Source organism: Homo sapiens, chromosome 4 (genome assembly GCF_000001405.40).
Source record: "Homo sapiens chromosome 4, GRCh38.p14 Primary Assembly".
Taxonomy (NCBI): Eukaryota; Metazoa; Chordata; class Mammalia; order Primates; family Hominidae; genus Homo; species Homo sapiens.
In genome coordinates, this window is record NC_000004.12 from 189,966,926 (window position 1) to 189,991,584 (window position 24,659).

Below are 24,659 nucleotides of genomic sequence, written 5' to 3' on the forward strand. Positions count from 1 at the left end.
TGATAGACTGCTAGCAAGACTAATGAAGAAAAGAGAGAAGAATCAAATAGGTGCAATAAAAAATGATAAAGGGGATATCACCACTGATCCCACAGAAATACAAACTACCATCAGAGAATACTATAAACACCTCTACGCAAATCAACTAGACAATCTAGAAGAAATGGATAAATTCCTGGACACATACACCCTCCCAAGACTAAACCAGGAAGAACTTGAATCTCTGAATAGACCAATAACAGGCTCTGTAATTGAGGCAATAATTAACAGCTTACCAACCGAAGAAAGGCCAGGACCAGATGGATTCACAGCCTAATTCTACCAGAGGTACAAGGAGGAGCTCATACCATTCCTTCTGAAACTATTCCAATCAATAGAAAAAGAGGGAATCCTCCCTAACTCATTTTATGAGGCCAGCATCATCCTGATACCAAAGCCTGGCAGAGACACAACAAAAAAAGAGAATTTTAGACCAATATCCCTGATAAACATCGATGCAAAAATCCTCAATAAAATACTGGCAAACCGAATCCAGCAGCACATCAAAAAGCTTATCCACCATGATCAAGTGGGCTTCATCCCTGGGATGCAAGGCTGGCTCAACATATGCAAATCAATAAATGTAATCCAGCATATAAACAGAACCAATGACAAAAACCACATGATTATCTCAATAGATGCAGAAAAGGCCTTTGACAAAATTCAACAAACCTTCATGCTAAAAACTCTCAAAAAATTAGGTATTGATGGGACATATCTCAAAATAGTAAGAGCTATCTATGACAAACCCACAGCCAATAGCATACTGAATGGGCAAAAACTGGAAGCATTCCCTTTGAAAACCAGCACAAGACAGGGATGCCCTCTCTCACCACTCCTATTCAACATAGTGTTGGAAGTTCTGGCCAGGGCAATCAGGCAGGAGAAGGAAATAAAGGGTATTCAATTATGAAAAGAGGAAGTCAAATTGTCCCTGTTTGCAGATGACATGATTGTGTATCTAGAAAACCCCATCATCTCAGCCCAAAATCTGCTTAAGCTGATAAGCAACTTCAGCAAAGTCTCAGGATACAAAATCAATGTGCAAAAATCACAAGCATTCTTATACACCAATAATAGACTAACAGAGAGCCAAATCATGAGTGAACTCCCATTCACAACTGCTTCAAAGAGAATAAAATACCTAGGACTCCAACTTACAAGGGACATGAAGGACCTCTTTAAGGAGAAATACAAACCACTGCTCAATGAAATAAAAGAGGATACAAACAAATGGAAGAACATTCCATGCTCATTGGTAGGAAGAATCAATACCGTGAAAATGGCCATACTGCCCAAGGTAATTTATAGATTCAATGCCATCCCCATCAAGCTACCAATGACTTTCTGCACAGAAATAGAAAAAAATACTTTAAAGTTCATATGGAATCAAAAAAGAGCCTGCATTGCCAAGTCAATCCTAAGCCAAAAGAACAAAGCTGGAGGCATCATGCTACCTGACTTCGAACTATACTACAAGGCTACAGTAACCAAAACAGCATGGTACTGGTACCAAAACAGAGATATAGAACAATGGAACAGAATAGAGCCCTCAGAAATAATGCCACATGTCTACAACCATCTGATCTTTGACAAACCTGACAAAAACAAGCAATGGGGAAAGGATTCCTTATTTAACAAATGGTGCTGGGAAAACTGGCCAGACATATGTAGAAAGCTGAAACTGGATCCCTTCCTTACACCTTATACAAAAATTAATTCAAGATGGATTAAAGACTTAAATGTTAGACCTAAAACCATAAAAACCCTAGAAGAAAACCTAGGCAATACCATTCAGGACATAGGCATAGGCAAGGACTTCATGTCTAAAACACCAAAAGCAATGGCAACAAAAGCCAAGATTGACAAATGGGATCTAATTAAACTAAAGAGCTTCTGCACAGCAAAAGAAACTACCATCAGAGTGAACAGGCAACCTACAGAATGGGAGAAAATTTTTGCAATCTACTCATCTGACAAAGGGCTAATATCCCGAATCTACAATGAACTCAAATTTACAAGAAAAAAAACAAACAATCCCATCAAAAAGTGGGCAAAGGATATGAACAGACACTTCTCAAAAGAAGACATTTATGCAGCCAACAGACACATGAAAAAATGCTCATCATCACTGGCCATCAGAGAAATGCAAATCAAAACCACAATGAGATACCATCTCACACCAGTTAGAATGGTGATCATTAAAAAGTCAGGAAACAACAGGTGCTGGAGAGGATGTGGAGAAATAGGAACACTTTTACACTGTTGGTGGGACTGTAAACTAGTTCAACCATTGTGGAAGTCCGTGTGGTGGTTCCTCAGGGATCTAGAACTAGAAATACCATTTGACCCAGCCATCCCATTACTGGGTATATACCCAAAGGATTATAAAACATGCTGCTATAAAGACACATGCACACATATGTTTATTGTGGCACTATTCACAATAGCAAAGACTTGGAACCAACCCAAATGTCTAACAATGATTGACTGGATTGAGAAAATGTGGCACATATACACCATGGAATACTATGCAGCCACGAAAAATGATGAGTTCATGTCCTTTGTAGGGACATGGATGAAGCTGGAAACCATCATTCTCAGCCAACTATTGCAAGGACAAAAAACCAAACACAGCATGTTCTCACTCATTGGTGGGAATTGAACAATGAGAACACTTGGACACAGGAAGGGGAACATCACACACCAGGGCCTGCTGTGGGGTCAGGGGAGGGGGGAGAGATAGCGATATGAGATATAACTAATGTTAAATGAAGAGTTAATGTGTGCAGCACACCAACATGGCACATGTATACGTATGTAACAAACCTGCCCGTTGTGCACATGTACCCTAAAACTTAAAGTACAATAAAGAAAAAAAAAATTCCATAGTGGCGATATAGAACAGTTTGTTTAACCATTCAGTCATTGGAGGATATCTGGGTTGTTTCTAGTTCTAGGCTATTACAAATAAAGGTGCTCTGAACATTTCTGTTAAAAAAAAAAAAAAGTTAAGACGCTACGTGTTGCTTAGGTCTGCTTTGTTGAAGCCTGTCTCTTTCAGAGTTCCTAAACACAATATTCCCATGGCATCTAATCCTAGTGAGTGCTCCAAATCCAGGCTGTGTATCAGATGCCACGGGAAATTCTGCCTCAGGACTGAGTTTGGTTCAAGCATCTGGATGTTGTCAAAAGTCCACGTTGTGTGCTGGCCTAATCTGAAAGACCCTAACTAGTTCTAGCCTTTAAATGCCTTCTGTCATCAAATCTAGAGTTACATGGCATTTGTACAAGCTAGGTAGCTGAGGCACGGAATCAGCCCTATAAAGGAGCTTTTGGTGCTTTTGTTGTAGGTCTAGCTCCAACTTGGCACTCCAGTTCCCATAGCTAGACTTTCTCTCATCGTGTGTTCTGATCCTTGGATTAGGAACAAAGTAACTACTCTGATACAAAGCAGTGGTTTCGGTTCCCAACTAGTGACTATTTTGCCTCCCAGGGGACATTTTTGGTTTTCACAACTGGGATACGGTGTTAGAGGGTAGAGGCTAGGGATGCTGCGAAGCATGTGGCAGAATCCTCTTCCGCCCCGAATGCTAATAGTGCCAACGTTGTGGAGGCTTCCCACCCAAGGGCTTGGTCTATTCCTTGCTTTTGCCAGCTCCCTAAACCTTAAACACATTTCAAATTTATATGCATAAGCATCTCCTAGGGACCTGCCCGTTTCCAATATCGACTACTGAGACCCATCCGTAGAGATGCAGGCTTAGGAGGTCTAGGATTGGGCTGAAAATTTGCATTTTAACAAGTACTCCAGGTCATTCTGAAGCAAGTGATACAAACCACACACTGAGGAACACGCCTTCAAGAGACTGAATCTTGCTTCCCAACACTAGCTTGCTATCTGAGACCATCTGCCTGCTGCTGGCTTTCCTGGCACAAACATTCTGCATGTAGGCACAGTGTGCTCCTGGACTCCATGTCACCTCGTTCACCCTCATGTTCCCTCGGTTCCTGTCCCCAGTCCAGCAAGCAGAACTGATTACAGATCTTAACAGAAGATACAGATTGAAAATAACTTGCCTGTTCCCGTGGACTTTATCCACTAGTCAAGGAGGACAAGTGGACAAGGGGAGAGGGTAGGTGGGGGCTCCTTCCCTGTTCCTCCCATTCCACTTTATACAAACCCCAGCTAGACCACTGGGAGAGCAACAGAGGTTAAGAATGACTGCATCTAAATATTTAATTTGGCCCACTCTTCTTCTGTCTTGAACACAAGGGTATCATGAGTTTTGTTTAAAGCACTACTGAAACCAAGATAAATTCTGGCTTAGCATGCCCCTGACAGATCAATCTAGTAATCTTATCAAAAAGATTGAGAAATCGGATGGTTGCTGTGTCTGGGTAGAAAGAAGTAGACATGGGAGACTTTTCATTTTGTTCTGCACTAAGAAAAATTCTTCTGCCTTGGGATCCTGTTGATCTGTGACCTTACCCCCAACCCCTTGCTCTCTGAAACATGTGCTGTGTCCACTCAGGGTTGAATGGATTAAGGGCGGTGCAAGATGTGCTTTGTTAAACAGATGCTTGAAGGCAGCATGCTCGTTAAGAGTCATCACCACTCCCTACTCTCAAGTACCCAGGGACGCAAACACTGCGGAAGGCCGCAGGGTCCTCTGCCTAGGAAAACCAGAGACCTTTGTTCACTTGTTTATCTGCTGACCTTCCCTCCACTATTGTCCTGTGACCCGGCCAAATCCCCCTCTGCGAGAAACACCCAAGAATGATCAATAAAAAAAAAAAAAAAACCAAGATTACCTAAAAGCACTAACCAAAGGAAAACTCCCTCACCTCAACCCGTGACTGCTCACATTTTTCAGATTGAATAATTTCAATTGTATTTTAAGGTTGACTCTTTACCACCTCCAAGCTGCTCCTGAACACAACTATTATTTTTTAATTTTGAAAAATTTTTCACTTCTAGAATTTCCACTTGAGGCTTTGTTATTACTGTAGTTTCTTCTTCTCTGCTGTGATTTTCTATCCATTTATTATAAGAGTTTTTGGGGTTTTGATTTTAGTAAGAATTATAATAACTACTTTAAAAAATCCATACTAATTCCAACATCTCGGTCGTCTCGAGGTCAGTCTCGATTGATTGCCTTTTTCTTTGAATATGTTTCTTGGTATGTTTGATATAATGGGATTGAATCCTGAAGATTGTAAAAACTGGATATTTTTTGTTCCTCTGAAAATTGATAATTTTTTGTATTTTTTTTTCTATTGTATACTTTACATTTTCCTCCAAGGGTTTTAACATTTCTAGTTCTCAAAACATTTACATTTATGTTAAAAATTATACAAAGTAGCTTGGTACAGTGGCTCCCATCTGTAATCCCAGCACTTTGAGAGGCCAAGGCAGGAGGGTCACTCGAGTCCAGGACTTGGAAACCAGCCTAGACAACAGGACAAGACCTTGTCTCCACAAAAAATTATTAGGGTGATACAAAAAGTAATTGCAGGTTTTGCCATTACTTTCAATGGCAAAACCCACAATTCCTCTTGCACCAACCTGATAAAAAATAAGCTGGGTATGGTGGTGGTATGTGCCGGTGGTCTCAGCTATTTGGGAAGTGAAGGCAGAGGTGGGAGGATTGCTTGAGCCCAGGAGTTCCAGACCACCCTGAGACCCTGTCTCTACGGGGAAAAAAAAAAAAAAAAAAAAAAATTAGCTGGGCCCACGTACCTGTGGTACTAGCTACTTGGGAGGCAAAGGCAGAGGTGCCAGAATCACTTGAGCCCAGAAGCTCAAGGCTGCAGGGCACTGTGATTGTGCCACTGCACTCCAGCCTAAGTGATGGAGCATGACCCTGACTCCAGATAATAATAATAATTACAAAAAGGAAAGACCTAGAACACCAGGTTAAAGTATTCTAAAATTTAGCTGACTTACTCTGCTCTCTATAAAACAGGGTTGCCACAGAAAATATAGCATGCCCAGTTAATTTTAAATTTCAGATAAACAAATACTTTTTTCAGTGTAAGTATACCCCATGCAATATTTGGGATATGCTTATACTAAAACTTATTCTTTGTTTATCTGAAATTGAAATTTAACTGGGTATTACATAATTATAGCAGCCTGACCATAAAAGATATGTAGGCTGAGCAAAATTCTACTTTAAACTTCAAGCTTTATAATAAATGCATTATTAATCAACAACTATTATTTACTGAGACCTGTGTAGATCCCCATATTTATTTTTAAATGTGGAACTAGGAAATCTATATAAAGAACATTTATAGAAATGAATGACTGTTCTATAGAGCTGAAAGGAAAACTCTAGCTTTTATTTTTCTCCCCAAACTTAAGCTTTATTTTACATTTGTATAAACAATAAAATTACCACTCAACTTTGGAAGCACAGATCATAATATGAAAATAAAGCAAAGATCCCAGAAACATTTAACAGGCAACAAATCTTTGACATCATCTTACTATAGCAACTAAACGTATAATAATTTAGAACGATCCATTAATTATAAGAATAAATTCTTTTACAAAGCATAACTATTAATATTATTTGACCATCATAAGAACAAACATTTTAACTAAAACACCATGAATACTTTACAGAAAGGGGCGAGTTGCAGACACAGTCCTTCTTGGATTTCTTTTAACACCAGGCTTTCTTCCCTTTTGACCTGAGCTGGGAGTTGAATATTTCCTCTCTTTGCCCTCTGACCCTCTAGTCTCTGAAGCATCTTTTGTACTAGAGGTGTGTGCAGAGACTTCCTGGAAATTTGGATCTGTAAATTGTGCTGTTGTATCTTCTAAGCACTGCAGTGATCTGGATATAGAGCTGTTGCTCTTGCTTGTATAAGTGTAATATTCTGATTCAAAAAAGGAAGTGAAAGGAAGGGAGTTGATTACATTTGGCTACAGAAAAAAAAAGATGACACTAATAATAAAAATAAATAATAATTGTACTTGTAATATAAACATCTGAAAGTTTTAGTTCTAAGAATGGCAGTCCACATAAGAAAATTAGGTAAAAATAATTAATATCTATTATAATTATTTTTCTTTAACCAAAGAAAAAGTATAATTTAAAGATGGCTGTTTAAGCATCAAATTGCAGCCATTGGTAAAAGTAGATATTAGTCATATTTATTAAGTGACACACAGTGATACTGAAGGCACTTGTTTCTCAGCAACATCATTTTTTCCCCAATAAGAACGTACTGCATCCTAGACGTGAAATGAAAATAAGCTTTAATTTTCACCACAGGAGGGCGACAACCAGAGAACTGAGGGGGTACAGATCCATTAGAGGACCATATCCATGAGCTTAAAATGCTCTACTGTAAGAGCAAGAATTTTTAAAGAATCTCGGTGAAGGCTCCTTTTCAAAAAAGCACAAAGATTAAAGCCTTTGAAATGTAAATTATTTTTTGCAGTTATTACATTGAGGACAAAGTTATAGTCGCAAAGTTAAGATTTTTATAACTATCCCTAAAATTGATCCTCAGTGACTCCTTGATCTACATATGTTAAGGAAAAAGGCAAGACACAGATATGTTTAAATAGTTTCCAATTTTCAGTAATCAGCTTCAATATAAGGTATACCCAAATAATGGTGAATTAAATGACCATGAAAGCACGTTATAGCAGATGCCCGCTCATCAATATGCCTTGAAATTAAAGGTTTATAAGGTGCATAAGGGCAAAGGTTTTGATGTTGCCATTACATTCGCAAAAGTATGTGAGGCACGTACAGCATGAAGTTCACTAAGTGCTTGCAACATAACCAGCACTAAATTTTGTTGAATAAATAAATGAATACTTTTGTATAGCATCTGTTCAAAATCTGATGTAAAAATGAAAATAATCTGAAAATATGCAAAACTGAAATTTCCCACAGACGGCTGCCAATTCATACAAACCATAAGATGAATTTCAAAATGAGAACGTGACAATAAAATCAAGTTTCAAAATGGCTGGCCTTTTTTTTTTTTAGCAAAACCCATGTTCAAAAAAAGGAATAAGACATCAAATGTTTTGAGAACCAAAATTTTACTGCTGCTTTTCTAACACCCTGTTGCTAACCTGAGCCCCCATCCTCTTACTGTCAATAACAGATTTTCATCATCAAACACAAGAAACACGCTGGGCACAGTGGCTCACACCTGTAATCCCAGCACTTTGGGAGACTGAGGCGGGTGGATCACTTGAGGTCAGGAGTTTGAGACCAGCCTGGCCGACAGGGTGAAACCTCATCTCTACTGAAAATACAAAAATTAGCTGGGTGTGGTGGTGGGCGCCTGTAATCCCAGCTACTCGGGAGGCTGAGGCAGGAGAATCGCTTGAACCTGGGAGGTGGAGGTTGCAGTGAACTGAGATCGAGCCACTGTACTCCAGCCTGGGTGACAGAGCAAGACTCTGCCTTAAAAAAAAAAGATAAAAATACAATAAACATCTCATAAAAACAAAATAATCACTATTCTAACAAACCACAGTCCACAAATAAGAAGTTTCAAAAAGTAAGTTTAAAAGAAAAAAATTTTTACCAACCACTCACTTTTAAGCTGATAAAACTGCATGGCTTCCTTAAGAAACAAGAATCCCTTCGATGCTGAGCAGGTCAGTTTGGAAACCACCCCACCTCATTTTTCAGTACTTTTTTCCAAATACTTGAGTTGATCCTGAGGTTCTCTATTTCTCTCACATTTGATCCTTGCATGACTTACTGAAGTTGAAAAGTTATTTAAGAAGACACAGTGGTGTTCTTCACTCATGTAATTTGTTCATGTATCAAATAAAGGATGGAGAGAAAACTGGATGAAATACCAGAAGTTAAGAGATACATCAAAAACAGTACCATGAGGGAAAAATTTATAGCTATAAATGATTATAAAACATAAGATACTGAATCAACAACTTTACTCCTAAGGAACTAAAAACAGAGGGAAAAAGAGGGACAACTAAAAGCTAGCAAAATTTTAAAAATGATAAAGATAGCAGTGGAAATAAGTGAAATAGAGAACAGAAAAGCAATATCAAAAATCAACAAAACCAAGTTTATTCTCTGGAAAAGATCAAAACTGACAAAAATTTTATCTAGATTGACTAAGAAAAAAAGGGAATACTCAAATTACGAAACTCAGAAGAAAAATGGGTACATTACTAACAAATTTTTGGAGTAAAAAAAGGATGTAGGAGAGTACCATAAGGAACTATACACTAAAAAATTGAATAACCTAAATAAAATGAACAAATTCCTAGAAACAAAAAACCTACTAAGACTGAATCAGAAAAGTTGAATAAACCTATTCAGCAAGGAGATTCAGCAGGAAGATGGCATAAGTAATCAAAAACCCAGCAACAAAGAAAAGCCTGGACCAGATGGCTTCACTGTTGAATTCTACCCAACGTTTAAAGCAGAATTAACACCAGTTTTTCTCAAACTTTTTCAAAACGTTGAAGAGGAGGTAATGTTTTCTAACTTATTCTATGAGGCCAGTATTACCTTGACACCAAGCCAGACAAAGGCACCATAAGAAAACTACAAACAAACATCCCTTACAAATGCTGATGCAAAAATCCTCAACAAAATACCAGCAACTCAAACTTAGCAGTACACTAAAAGGATTATACACTATGAATGAGTATAATTGACTCCTGAAATAAAAGTATATTCCAACACATGAAAATCAGCGTAATATCACATTAACATAAAGAAGGAAAAAAGCCTCATGTGATCACATTTTAATCAAAGAAGAAAAAGCATTTGTCAAAATTTAACCCACATTCATGATAAAATGTACTTAATAAACTATAAAAAGAAAGAAAACACTTTAACATAATGTCATACAAAAAACAAAAACACAGCTAATGTGGTGAAAGACTGAAAGCTTTTACCCTAAGAGCAAAAACAAGGATGCCTGCTTTTACTACTTCTGTTTAATATAGTACTGAGGATTCTAGTTAGTTAAAACATGAGTAAAAGAATAAAAGATATTCCAATTTTTTTAAAAGTAAAATTATCTGTTTGCAGATGACATAACCTTATATATTAAAAATCTTTTGGTTTCTGTGAAATAAACTGTCAGATACAATAAACAAAATTCAGCAAAGCTGCAGGATACAAAATCAATACACAAAAATCAGTTGTATTTCTACAATAACAATAAACTATCTGAAGAAGAAATCAAGACAACAGTATCATGTATGATAGCATCAAAAGAATAAAATACTTAGAAACCCACTTAACCAAGAAAATGAAAAACCTGTACAGCAAAAACTATAAACATGGCATGAACGTATTAAAGATGACAAATAAATGAAAAGACATCATGTGTTTATGGACTGGAAGACAAAACCTTGTCAAGATGCCATTGTTATCTATAGTCATCTACAGATTCAATAAAATCACTATAAAAATTCCAATATTTGCAAAAATAGAAAAACCTATTCTAAAATTCAGATGAAATCTCAAAAAATCCCAAGTAGCCAAATCAATCTTAAAAACTAACAAAGTTAGAGGACTAACACCTCCTGGTTTCAAACTTACTGCAATGCTTCAGTACCCAAAACTTGTACCAGCATAGAGACAGAGACAAAGACCAATGCGATAGAAATAAAGAACCAAAAAATATGGTCATGATTTTTAACACAGGAGTCAACACTATTCAATGGGAAACGATGGTATTTTTTGAATGGTGTTTAAAATGGATATTTACATATACCCATATGTATGTATATATCCCAAATTAGCTTTTTGTCTGTCATGTATGTGGCAGATCTATTTCCCCAGTCTGTTGACTTTTGACTTAGAGGCATTTTTCTCTCACACAAAGTTTCAATTTTTATGGAGTCAAATACATCAGTCTTCTATTCAGTGACTTCTTCATGGGAATGGTGTTTGATTTTAGGATGATAAAGAAGTTGTAGATATGGATAAATTAGATAAACTAGATGGTTGGACAACACTGAATATACTGGATGCCACAGAACTGTACATTTAAACATGGTTAAAATGGTAAGTTTTATGTTGTGTATATTTTACCACCAAAAAAGGGCCAGGCTTAGATGTTTACATGTTAGGGGTTTGGAGTACCTCTAACATTTATTCCCCTCCAGGGGAATAATTTATAAACACCCACACAAGAAAAGTAGATACTGACTTCACAAATCTCCTTACAAGTCCCACAGCAAGGGCTGTCTGGGAAAGCAGAGATGGAAAAAGTCACATAAACTTGAGGTCAGTGTGAGACCTCCCATCCCCTACTCTGGAATCAGATGGAGGAAGGCAGGTATGCAGGCTGAGCTGGAGAGATGAGCTGGGGTGGGCAGAACTGTCCTCCCATGAGCCCAGACCTTAACTGCTCCCACATGCTCCCAGGCATGTATCAAACCAAGAAAGCGGCTAGGAGGGTAACACAGCTACCTGTATACAGGGAGCCATGAAATATCTGAGCTGCGCAAGTGATGCACAAGGAGATGGAAGCAGTCTGACCTTTACACAGTGACCTGGCTCAAATAATTTCAGGCTCTCAATCAGGCGAGCTCCACTTTCTCTCTGAGGTAGGTAAACTTGAGGGGTTTAAGTGGGAGTTGAGGATAATGGAAAAGAAAGCCTGGTAGTATTTCTTCTAATTCTGTTATAAATAAAAAGTAAAACAAATGCCTTTTCTCAGGGCCCAAATGTTAGGTGAAAAAATGTCATCTCAGTCATGTGATGTGGACTTCAGCAGAGCAGTACCCTCATGGTCATTTATCCTTTCCCTCTGCATGTTGTGTGCTTTTTCAGTTTACAATGTACCTGATCCACTTGTCTCATCACACTAGCTGCAAACAAGGCCACTGCATGTCACACCAGGTGGCCAGCATGTCTGTGAAGGGCAGAAACGGGGGCAGCCAAACAGCTGGCAGAGGCCAGCTAGTAAGTACCTGATGCCCACTCCATAGAGGACTCCACACTTAAAAGACAAGATAAGCAAGTGTCAGGCTGCCTCACTAGTTATCCCCCCAAATAAAAAAATAAAAGTAACCCCTCCAGGGAACATGTTTGTGTGTACACAAAGTACATGCACACAGCTACATGCAAACGGGAAAGGCTGGGAAGGAACCAAATCCACCTCTGAACACCAGTTACTTGTGGGGAAGGGGCACGTGAAGCCAACTGTCAGCATTACTCACCTTTTCAACTGATGAGCTTGCATCAATTTTGGCAATTTCTCATAAAAAGACAATTTTCACTCCTTGGGTGATCACCCAGGTCCTGCAAAACTGAGCCACCAACAACCACCTGCACCACTTCCCATGAGGCCAAATAATGGCTTCCCTCAAAGCTCAGCCCTCCCACCCACCTCCCAGTCCTGTACCGTGCAGGGGGGCTGCCGGCCTCCTGGGGTGCAGGGGGGCTGCCGGCCTCCTGGGGTGCAGGGGTCCAGGCCAAACCCAACCTACAGATGGTTGGTGAAACCAGCACGTATCCAAGGGCCTTTTCCCCACCTGTGCCATGTGCCGACTGCATAGATAGGCCTGTGCTTGCTCCCCCTAGGACAGAGATTCCCTTTTCTTCCATTGGAATGAGGGGTGGGGAGATTTGATGGTATTCTGTACAGGTTGGATGTTAATCTGATGTGGTGCTCTTGGAAAAGCTTGCCTGAGTTCGGCGCTTTCTCAGCACATGGTGTGTGCTGCCCCTTCAAGCTGCAGAAACCCCAGAAGGTAAGTGCTAACTGCAACCCCCATTTACTGGTGAGCAGAGGTCAGGTGATCTGCAGCCAGCCAAGCAGCTGCTAAGTGGCCAACAGGCTGGATCTGCATCTCACTTGCAGAGGCCCTGCCTGGCTGCTGGGACTGCCCTGAGACTCCCTCCTCCTCCTCCTCTTCCCTCCACAGCTCTCCCAGCTTCTATCCACAGCTGTGCTCCAGGTGGGGAACACCTATGGCTGCACCAGGGTGCAACTACTCAGACTCCAGCGTGCAGAAAGGCCCCGGCTCCATGCTGTTTCCATATCCCAGCCCAAGCTCGTCTAGAGCTTCAGCAAATCCAAGCTTCCCTGAATTCCCTGCAAGACTAAACCAAGCCCTACAACCCCCACTACACTGGTTAGCTGCCAGTCCGAGCCCCTGCTGCCTCCTGGGCCCCTGTCTGTACAGTTCTGGAGTCCTACAAGAATGCTGAGATCGTAAGCCGACTCTCACCCAAAGAGGTAAACAACCAGGGACCTCCAGGGGTGGAGAACATACCCAGACAGGTTCTGCTGCCTGTAGGCTTCATGTCCTTCCCCTACAACACGCCATGCTTGCCAGGCTGGAAGAGGGGCTCCAGAAACTTGGGAAACCTGGGCCTGTAGCTGGCATGTGGAAAAGAGGCCTGGAAAAGCACCACTCCTGTCCATGAAGCCCCCACATGGAACCAGGTAATTGGGAAATACATGGGCACCAAGCCTGACGCCCTCCTCAGACCCAGGTGGGAACTGCAGCAGTGACTTGCCCCCTCTGCCTCTGGCTGTACCACTATGAGAGGGAGGAACATCCAGGTCCACACGTGAGTGGAGACACCAGGTGTGGGCAGGTTCCAGTGATTGCTGCAGCTGAACCTTCCCAAGCAGGTCCATGCAAGACCATCTCAGATGGGTGTGCACCTGGATTGGGCAAGGACACCCCTCAGAGAGTGAGGGCCACTGAGGGGGGCTGTCACAGAGTCCCCTTTTCCTGCTCCTAGAACAGGCTGGGGGAGTGTGGGGGAGTGTGGGGGAGTGTGGGGGAGTGTGGGGGAGGTTGGGGGAGGTTGGGGAAGTGTGGGGGAGTGTGGGGGAGGTTGGGGGAGGTTGGGGGAGGTTGGGGAAGTGTGGGGGAGTGTGGGGGAGGTTGGGGGAGTGTGGGGGAGTGTGGGGGAGTGTGGGGAAGTGTGGGGGAGGAGTGTGGGGGAGTGTGGGGGAGTGTGGGGGAGTGTGGGGGAGTGTGGGGGAGGTTGGGGGAGGTTGGGGGAGGTTGGGGAAGTGTGGGGGAGGTTGGGGGAGTGTGGGGGAGGTTGGGGGAGTGTGGGGAACCTCTCCCACCTCCCAGCTGCTTCCAGGAGCCACTTCTTTCGAGATGAGACACTCTGCTGCCTGTCTGTTCCCATTTGGCTGCAATAGACCATTGACAACATTCAGAGAACAAGAAGGGGCCTCACCTGTTTTCCCTGACACGTCGGAGGCAGATGGACATTCCCAGGGGACCTGGGGTAGAACCTGTTCATCTGCCCACCCCCAGGCTGTGCTGGCTTCATCTTATCTGTGTGATGGTGGCGGTGGGAATTACCAAGGGGTCATCACACAGACCATGGACAAGTTCTACAAGAGCCAGGGAGAAGAGCCCTGTCCGTGCTTGCTGCCCAGCACCCAGCTCACACACACACCTCTTATTTGACAGCTTCCCCAAAGCGGGCTTTGCAGTCCAGGCTCCCCGAGAAGCTTGGGGAGGAGACTCTGCCAGTCTGAAGGGCCTATCCCTAAAAAGGTGCCACCCTCACCAGGCTCATCCTGGCAATCTTGGATTATCTTTGCTCTGAGGTTTTGGAGTGGGGGACAGGGAGACAGCAGACACTGCACATCACCCATCTTTCCAGAGAGCATCAGCCCTCCAGACTGGGGCAGGTCAGACCTCCACTTGGGCGTTTTTCTCACTGGTTGCCAGTTGGGGGAAGCAGCATTTGTGAGCACCTGCCTGTCTTCCCAGGTCCTGTTCAGAAACCCCATCTGTGCCTTTGGAGAGACTGCCCTGAGCACACAGGCCCAGCAACCACCATATACGACCCCCAGGACCTAATCCCCCTCTACATAGGGTTCAGTGCATGTTAGCAGACACTGGGCTCGATTCCTGCCTAGTCCCTGCCAGATACCCCATGCCCACCTCGTGAAGAGAATGAGGCCACACAAACACACCCAGACCGTCTTGGTGATGGAGTGCCTGGGGTCCCACTTGCCCACCCTTCATTGCTGGTTCAGAGCCAGCTGTCTGACCACATTCCTACCCCGAGATGGGACTTTGGGGACATTGTCCACCAGGGTCGCTGAGCCCTTTTAAAGTTCCAGACACATGGCCAACTGGTCCCCTAAAAGTTTGGTACATGGGATAAGCCAAGGCTTTTCTTCAGGAACAGGCTTTCCACCACGTCGCTGCCCAAGGCCCAGGGCATCCCCAAGTTCATGTGGCGCCTGCCTGCCATGTCCACAGCCCATGCCGAGCCCTCCTAGAGCCACTGGAATGCTTGTTCCTGGGCATGTGATGAACCCAGACAGCTTCCGCCTTGCAGGACAACTGTGCACATCTGGCAGCAGTAGCCAGAGGGCCCATAGAAGTTGGAGGTGAAACCAGATGCTGTGAGAATACTTTATTAGGCAAAACCGCATACTATAAAAATGCTTTAAAATGCAGCAGGAGATGTGAAGACACAAATGAACGAGCGCATAGTGACACATGGCTGTCAGAACACAGTGAAGGATCCACACTGCTTCCCCCCTTTACCTAGAAAAGGAGAGTTCTAGGCCACCTCCTCCTCCTCATACTCCTCCTCCCTCGGCCGTGGCATCCTGATATTGCTGATATTCAGACACCAAGTCGTTCATGTTGCTCTCGGCCTCAGTGAATTCCATCTCATCCATGCCCTCGCCCGTGTACCAGTGGAGGAAGGCCTTGCGCCTGAACGTTGCTGTAAACTGCTCTGAGACCCGCTTGAGTTCCTGGACGGCTGTGTTGTTCCCAGTGAAGGTGACTGACATTTTTAGCCCCCAGGGTGGGATGTCACAGACGGCTGTTTTTACGTTGTTGGGGAACCAGTCAGCAAAGTAGCTGCTGTTCTTATCTTGAATGTTGAACATCTGTTCATCCACCTCCCTCATGGGCATGCGACCCTGGAAAATGGCAGCCGCCGTTAGGTAGCGGCCGTGACGGGGGTCACGGGCAGCCATCATGTTCTTAGCATCAAACATCTGCTGGGTGAGCTCAGCCACAGTCAAGGCCCGGTACTGCTGGCTGCCCCGGCTGGTCAGTGGGGCAAAGCCGGGCATGAAGAAATGCAGCCGGGGAAACGGGACCATGTTCATGGCCAGCTTCCGCAGGTCAGCATTCAGCTGGTCGGGGAAGCACAGGCACGTGGTGACCCCACTCATGGTAGCAGACACCAGGTGGTTCAGGTCACCATAGGTGGGTGTGGGCAGTTTTAGGGTCCTGGAACATATGTCATATAGCGCTTCGTTATCTATGCAGAAGGTCTCATCTGCGTTTTCTATGAGCTGGTGGACTGAGAGGGTGGCGTTGTAGGGCTCCACCACGGTGTCTGACACCTTGGGCAAGAGCAGGATGCTCAATGTGTTTATAATCCTGTCTGGGTACTCCTCCCAGATCTTACTAATGAGAAGGGTACCCATCCCAGACCCAGTCCCCCCACCCAGGGAGTGGGTCAGCTGGAAACCCTGCAGGCAGTCACAGCTCTCAGCCTCCTTTCTGACAACGTCCATCACTGACTCCGTCAGCTCCGCGCCTTCGGTGTAGCGTCCCTTGGCCCAGTTGTTTCCGGCCCCACACTGACCTGTAAGACAGCACAGCCGGTCACTCGACGGCCAGGTATACGGTCATCAGTGGTCACCACCATAATGCAGAAAGGGCCAAGTGTCACGTGTGAGGTGAGAGCACCATTCGCCCTGCAGGTGGAGCAGATGAAACCCCCTCCCCCGGAGTTACAGGACAGCAGCTTCCCCTCTCTTAGGAATTAAGTCAGGAGTCAAACCTGAGAGGGGCTAACCTCACTGCAGGTGGAACAAATGAAAACCCCTCCCCCGGAGTTACAGGACAGCAGCTTCCCCCGTTAGGAATTAAGACAGGAGTCAAACCTGAGACGGGCTCACAGAACTCGCTGCAGGTGGAACAAATGAAACCCCCTCCCCAGGAGTTACAGGACAGCAGCTTCCCCTGTTAGGAATTAAGTCAGGAGTCGAACCTGAGACGGGTTCACAGACCTCGCTGCAGGTGGCCCATTCTCAGGGAAGGCAGTAGCCACGGCCCCAGCTCAGGTCCTTGCAGGGAGTTTACATCAGTAGCTCCTCACCTTGAGGAGACACGCGGGCCTTCCTCCCGAAGCCCGTTTAGGAGGCAGATGGAGCGACTCGACTCGGAGGACAGGAGGGTGTTCAGGGGCCCTGGCGCCACAGTTCCCACAGGATGACCTTGGAGCGTTCCTGGATTTCGAGCTGCCCTGGCTAAGGAGCCGCACCCCAGTCCTCGCCCGCAGCTCACGGGAAATGAAGTTGTCTGGCCTGAAGACCTGCCCGAAGGGCCCCGAGCGCACAGAGTCCATGGTGCCCGGCTCCAGATCCACGAGCACAGCGCGGGACACGTACCTGCCACCTGCGTGGGGCGGGAGGGCATGAGCGAGGGGAGGGCCGCGTTCCCAGGAGGGCGGTGGGGGAAGGACGGGGGTCGCACCGCTGGCCTCGTGGTGGTGCACGTTGATGCGCTCCAGCTGCAGGTGGCTGTCCCCGTGGTAGGTGCCAGCGGAGTCGATGGCATGTTCATCAGAGATCACCTCCCAGAACTGCGGAGACGGGAGGGGCCAGACAGGCCGGGGCTGAGTCACGGAGGCGCCCCAGCCGCTCTCCCACCCCCATCCGCACCCCCATCCCCAGGCCGCCCTGTCCCTGGGGTCCACCCCCGCCGCCTCGCCAGCCACCCGGTTCCACCGTCCCCGGCAGGGAGCCCAGGGGCCGCAATGCAGGGGCACCGCCCCCGCCGCTGCCAACATCTTCCCCGGCCACCCGGCAGGCCCGGGCTGGGCCCTCAGAGCCCCGGCTGCCAACCTTGGCGCCGATCTGGTTCCCGCACTGCCCGGTCTGCGTGAGCACAAGCTCCCTCGTGGCCAAGGCAGGATTAGGGCGGCAGGAGAAGCGCGAGAAGGAGGAGCAGACGCACAGCGACCCAGCCCGGCCTCCGCCAACGCTTAAACAGCCCCGCGCCCACCTCCCTCAGCCTAGGATTGGGCTCCCAGAATAAGCAACAGCTTTACTTCCACACAGGTGCACCCACCTGTGACTCCCCTGGCGTTGAACGTCTGTTGGAGAACTCAGGTGTCCTTGCGTGGTCCCTTCCACGTTGGGGAAAGCTGCTCAGCTGGAGAACTTCCTCCCACGTCTTTAGTAAGACTAAATCCCTAGCTGAGCTGAAACTGAATTTTCCTCCCATGTGGGAGGGGAAGACGCTTGTTTCCATATGCACGGAGTGCCTTTGCACCTGTCCTAGATTGATGACATATTTTTGTAATTGATGAATCTTTTCATCTATTAGGAGATCTGTCGTTAGGAAAGGCCTTCCACATGTTAACAGGACTTAATTATACGTTTTACTTTGGAGCAGTTCAAATCTGCAGTAAGCTATGGGTGTTAGAGATAGTCAGGCCTCTGATTTAGCTAGAGTCTTCTTTAGGATTAGCCCTTTCACCTTTCCAGAGGACTGCGGTCTCCACACAGAGTGAAGGTAATATTGGATTCTTAAAGCTGAGGATAGGTGTTGGGTTACGCCTGCTGTGAAAGATGGGCCATTGTCACTTTGCAGGCTTTTAGATTACCCAAACTGAGGAGTTATTTCTTCTGGTAAACATTTTTCAGATGGGGTGGGGAATGCCTCGATCTAACCAGTGAAGGTATCAGTAAGCATTAGCAAATATTTGAATCTCTTGCAGAAAGTCATTGGGGTACATTAGAGTTGCCAGTTCTCACCTGGATAGGTTCCTTAATTTTGGACAGGTTTAACTGGAGGAGAAAATTGCTGGCCGTTTGGGTCATGTCAGGCACAGAGCTCACAGTGCTGAGTCACCTGTTTTAGTGTCTTGAAAAGATTTACCCCTATAAACAAGTGAGACATTAACAGAAACAAAGAATCCCTTCTAGGGTGAAAAGAATCATGAAAGTGCTGAGTTATACTCTTGTGATTGGTACTTGGCATTAGTAATTTATTACCATCATTCAGCCAGCCCGAGGGGCCCTGGACTGAAATGCAATCCCTGGCCCATTTCTGTTCTTCTTCAGAGTGTTCCGGCCCAGTTCTATGTATGCTGACCAGCACGCCCATAAGCTTCATTGGCCCTTTCAGTGCAGGGGCCTTGGCTGCAGCTACAAGGTCATTTCCTTTTACATGGTCAGTCTCTCTTTTGATGTCCTCTGCAATTAATTATAGTCACTTTCTGGCAGCAAAGCAGTATTCTAACAAGCTCAAAATCTGAATGATGTTGTATGGAAAAGCCCTTGGGGTCAGGAGTCCCCACCCATTCCAAATTGCAGCATAAGCATGAAGCACTAAAAAATCATACTTGGAATCAGTGTAAATGTTAACTTTTAAATCCTTTCCAACTGCAGGGGCCTAGTAAGTTCAATTAACTCAGCTTTTTGAGCTGAGGTCGAGGCCAGCAAGGCTTGTGCCTTGATTCTCTTGTGCTGACTACTAATAGCATATCTAGACCTCCTGTTTTCCTGATGCATAAAACAACTTGCATCTGTTAACCACTCTGCCTTGGGATGGTCAAGGAGCTCATCTCTCCTACGTCTGGCCTGCTAGATCAATTTGTTTCATAACCTGTGACATGCTTTGGCTGTGCCCCCAGTCAAGTCTTATCTTGAATTGTAGCTCCCATAATTCCCATATATCGTGGGAGGGACCCAGTGGGAGGTAATTGAATCAGGGGATGGGTCTTTCCCATGCTGTTCTCGTGACAGTGAATAAGCCTCATGAGATCTGATAGTTTATTTATTTATTTATTTTTGATACATAGTCTTGCTCTGTTGCTCAGGCTGGAGTGCATTATCGTGATCTTGGCTCACTGCAAACTCTGACTCCTGGGTTCAAGCGATTCTCCTGTCTCAGCTTCCCGAGTAGCTGGGATTACAGGTGCCCACAACCATGCCTGTTTAATTTTTGCACTTTTAGTATAGACAGGGTTTCACCATGTTGGCCAGGCTGGCCTCCATCTCCTCACCTCAGGTCATCCACTGCCTTGGCCTCCCAAAGTGCTGGATTACAGCTGATGGTTTTATAAAGGGGAGTTTCCCTACACAAGCTCTTTTGCCTGCTGCCACGTAAGAGATGTGACTTTGTTCCTCACCTGCCTTCTGCCATGAGTGTGAGGCCTCTCCGACCATGTGGAACTGTGAGTCAATTAAACCTCTTTTCTTTATAAATTTCCCAGCCTCAGATATGTCTTTATTAGCAGCGTGAGAACAGACTAATACAGCCTGTATGCCAGAAAGGCTGGGAGCACCTGTGGACTCTGACAGCTAAGTAGCTGGGTTTGTGGTTTGGCAGGCTTTAAGGGTTGTGTCTGGAGGGTCTAGCAATAAGGCCTGACACTTTCATAAATGTTCTCCTATTATCCACTGCTGCCCTTTAGCTTCCAGGACCACCTTCCCTTGGTGTGGGGTCAAAAACCTGTAGGTGCTGTTCTAATGTTAGTTTATTAGCTTTGCCTGCTAGAAAAGTGGTAGCAGCAATAGCTCTAAGACATCAAGGCCACCCTGAGGCCGCCTGGTCTATCTGCTTAGAAAATTAGGCTACTGGCCTTGGAATGTCCCCCAGTTTTGAGACAAGATTACCCAAGGCCTATGCCTTGCTTTTTGGTCACATAAAGAAAAAATGGTTCATCCAACTTGGGGACTCCCATGGCTGCAGCAGAGCTCAATTTCTCCTTGAGAGTATTGAAGGTTTGCTTGCAGTTCTCATTACGTTCTAGGAGCTCTAAATCTTTCCCTTTAGTGTATCATATAAAGGCTTGGCTACATGTCCAAATCTGGGCAACCATAAGCAGCAGTACCCAGCCATCTCCTAAAAGAGCCCACAGTCATTTGTTGGACTGGGACCCTTCGGTGACTAAAATAACTTTTTTATCTTCTAGGGTTGTTGATCAGTTCCAGTGGTTAAGACAGATTCCAAATATTTAAGTCTTTGAGTCAAAATCTGAGCCCTGTATGGGGATACCGTATATCTGCAACTTCCCAGGAAACTTACCAACTTAACAGTATTATTATTTGAGTCTTCTTTAGTTGGGCTAGCAATGAGCAAGTCACCTACATACTGAATAATTGTGTCCCTTTCCAGTTGTAGATTTCTTAAGTCCTTAGCTAGAGCATTTTCAAATAAGTGGGGGCTATCCCAGAACCCTTCAGAGACGACTGTCCAGGTTAGTTTTGAGGCTGAATGTGTATCTGGATTAGTCCATTCAAAGGCAAACATATTGTGAATCTGGATGCATTGAGATGCAGAAAAATGCGTCTTTCAGATTTAAGAATGTAAACCAGCTTGCATCCCCTGGGACTTGGTAAGTATTGGGGACAATGAGGTGTATGGAGACAACTGCATTTCTTAGCGCTCTAAGGGTTCTGACAAATCTGTACTTGCCATTAGGCTTTTTATCTGGTAACATGCGAGTATTGTAAGGAGACTCTCATGGGCTTCATAACTCATATGGCAAGAATTTGGCAATAAGGGGTTGAATTTCCCCTCATGCTTCTTGCCTTAAAATGTATTGTCTCTTCTGAGGGCGAGGAGCACTAGGCTGAAGTTGGATTTGAATCGGGGAGGTGTTTAGTGCATTTCCCAGAGCCTGTGTGGCCCAAACTTCAAGATTTACTTGAGACAATACCTCAGGTGGTAAATGTGACAGCTCATTCTTAACTTCTTTTTTTTCCCCTGAGGGGTCAGGAACAAAAGTAACACTTTCTATGATTTATGATCTGTGAAGGTGACCATGACTTGGTCTCCTGAGTCAATAAACTTCTCCCCAGTAAGAGATCAGGCATTCAGACCGTACTAAAAAGGTAGGTGAGAAGCCCAGAGGCCCTGGAGGACAACTTAGAAGATACAAAAAGCAGTTATTTTGGGCTTGTCCATCATGAAGAGACAGGAGCCCACTGTATTGAATCAGGACAGAGTCATCTGCTCCCACACCTAATAAGAAGTTAATACTCCTACCTGCCACTACAAGAGTCACCTGAGGCTTCTCCATCTCTGGATACCTAATAGTCCAATGGGAGTGGAGGCAGGAAGTAACAGGCCCTCCCACTTTCAAGTCTGCTGGGCTCTGAGGTTGGCTCCCTTGAAAGCACAGTGCATTTCCTTCAGCAGTGGCTGACCTTCTTACAGAAGGCACATTGATTTATATCCACGACACAGTGGCCCAGAGGCACAGACTGGGACTTTCACCTTCTCACTTCCTCTGTGAGGGCCAGGGTTAACGGGCTGCCTCTGAAGTGGTGGAGAGCACAAGGCTGCAGCTAGAAGCTGGGCCTTTTGGGACATTTGGTTTATTTTATGTTTTCTCTGCCCTATTCCTGTGATGGAAAACTGCAAAATCCAAATCTAAAATCTGATCCATGGGAGTCTGGAAGCCTAAGGCTGCTTTTGGCGGCTTCCTGCAGATATCAGAAGCAGGCTGGGCTATAAAGTAAACTCCTAGCAATGCCTATCCCTTCTTGGAGTAAGGGTCAGTGTTAGTGTATTTTCTCAAGGTCTAAATTATCCACCCTTGTAATAAGGCTAGGTTTTCATCTTTTCCGAGTAATTTTCCAGACTTTATAAAAATTAAAAAGCTTTATCACAATTTTTTTTATTCCTTCAAGGAGTCAAATGATCATAATTTTTTCTCTCTATATCCCACTTTCTTCCTAATTCATTCATCTTTTCTAGATTCTAGTTCTCTTTTGAGTCCTAATCAGGCACTTCTGTGCCTCCCACTTGATAGGTGTCATGTCCCTGGTTGCAGGCTGCCACCCTATTAGCATGTGCTCTACCACTCCCATAACACACTGCTTTTCTTTTTTCTTTTTTTTTTAATTATACTTTAAGTTTTAGGGTACATGTGCACCACGTGCAGGTTAGTTACATATGTATACATGTGCCATGTTGGTGTGCTGCACCCATTAACTCGTCATTTAACATTAGGTATATCTCCTAATGCTATCCCTCCCCCCTCCCCCCACCCCACAACAGGCCCCGGTGTGTGATGTTCCCCTTCCTGTGTCCGTGTGTTCTCACTGTTCAATTCCCACCTATGAGTGAGAACATGCTGTGTTTGGTTTTTTGTCCTTGTAATTGTTTGCTGAGAATGATGGTTTCCAGCTTCATCCATGTCCCTACAAAGAACATCAACTCATCCTTTTTTATGGCTGCATAGTATTCCATGGTATATATGTACCATATTTTCTTAAACCAGTCTATCATTGATGGACACTTGGGTTGGTTTGAAGTCTTTGCTATTGTGAATAGTGCCACAATAAACATACGTGTGCATGTGTCTTTATAGCAGCATGTTTTATAATCCTTTGGGCATATACCCAGTAATAGGATGCCTGGGTCAAATGGTATTTCTAGTTCTAGATCCCTGAGGAATCACCACACTGTCTTCCACAATGGTTGAACTAAATTACACTCCCACCAACAGTGTAAAAGCGTTCCTATTTCTCCACATCCTCTCCAGCACCTGTTGTTTCCTGACTTTTTAATGATTGCCATTCTAACTGGTGTAAGATGGTATCTCATTGTGGTTTTGATTTGCATTTCTCTGATGGCCAGTGATGGTGAGCATTTTTTCATGTGTCTGTTGGCTGCATAAATGTCTTCTTTTGAGAAGTGTCTGTTCATATCCTTTGCCCACTTTTTGATGGGGTTATTTGTTGTTTTCTGGTAAATTTGTTTGAGTTCATTATAGATTCTGGATATTAGCCCTTTGTCAGATGAGTAGGTTGCAAAAATTTTCTCCCACACTGTAGGTTGCCTGTTCACTCTGACAGTAGTTTCTTTTGCTGTGCAGAAGCTCTTTAGTTTAATTAGATCCCATTTGTCAATTTTGGCTTTGCTTGCCATTGCTTTTGGTGTTTTAGACATGAAGTCCTTGCCCATGCCTATGTCCTGAATGGTATTGCCTAGGTTTTCTTCTAGGGTTTTTATGGTTTTAGGTCTAACATTTAAGTCTTTAATCCATCTTGAATTAATTTTTGTGTAAGGTGTAGGGAAGGGATCCAGTTTCAGCTTTCTACATATGTCTGGCCAGTTTTCCCAGCACCATTTATTAAATAGGGAATCTTTTCCCCATTTCTTGTTTTTTGTCAGGTTTGTCAAAGATCAGATAGTTGTAGATATGTGGCGTTATTTCTGAGGGCTCTGTTCTGTTCCATTGGTCTACATCTCTGTTTTGGTATCAGCACCATGCCGTTTTGGTTACTGTAGCCTTATAGTATAGTTTGAAGTCAGGTAGCATGATGCCTCCAGCTTTGTTCTTTTGGCTTAGGATTGACTTGGCGATGCAGGTTCTTTTTTGGTTCCATATGAACTTTAAAGTAGCTTTTTCCAATTTTGTGAAGAAAGTCATCGGTAGCTTGATAGAGATAGCATTGAATCTATAAATTACCTTGGGCAGTATGGCCATTTTCACAATATTGGTTCTTCCTACCCATGAGCATGGAATGTTCTTCCATTTGTTTGTATCCTCTTTTATTTCATTGAGCAGTGGTTTGTAGTTCTCCTTGAAGAGGTCCTTCACATCCCTTTTAAGTTGGATTCCTAGGTATTTTATCAACCAAAGAAAGTC

General features: G+C 44.3%; 2 pseudogenes, besides 2 other annotated features; both read right to left on the bottom strand.

Annotated features, from left to right (window-relative positions):
* Nucleotides 6,674-6,922, bottom strand: MLLT10P2 (MLLT10 pseudogene 2; annotated as a pseudogene).
* Nucleotides 8,301-8,471: a silencer, noted in NCBI's record as "fragment chr4:190896381-190896551 (GRCh37/hg19 assembly coordinates)". NCBI's record gives its function as "represses an EF-1alpha promoter that drives an FKBP-Casp9 reporter gene in an ReSE screen in phorbol 12-myristate 13-acetate-treated (for megakaryocytic differentiation) K562 erythroleukemia cells {active_cell/tissue: K562(+PMA)}" and the evidence as "EXISTENCE:reporter gene assay evidence [ECO:0000049][PMID:32094911]".
* On the bottom strand, nucleotides 15,410-18,004 carry TUBB7P (tubulin beta 7 pseudogene; annotated as a pseudogene).
* Nucleotides 21,249-21,543: a silencer, noted in NCBI's record as "tiled region #15710; HepG2 Repressive non-DNase unmatched - State 25:Art". NCBI's record gives its function as "represses a minimal TATA promoter and a strong SV40 promoter by Sharpr-MPRA in HepG2 cells {active_cell/tissue: HepG2}" and the evidence as "EXISTENCE:reporter gene assay evidence [ECO:0000049][PMID:27701403]".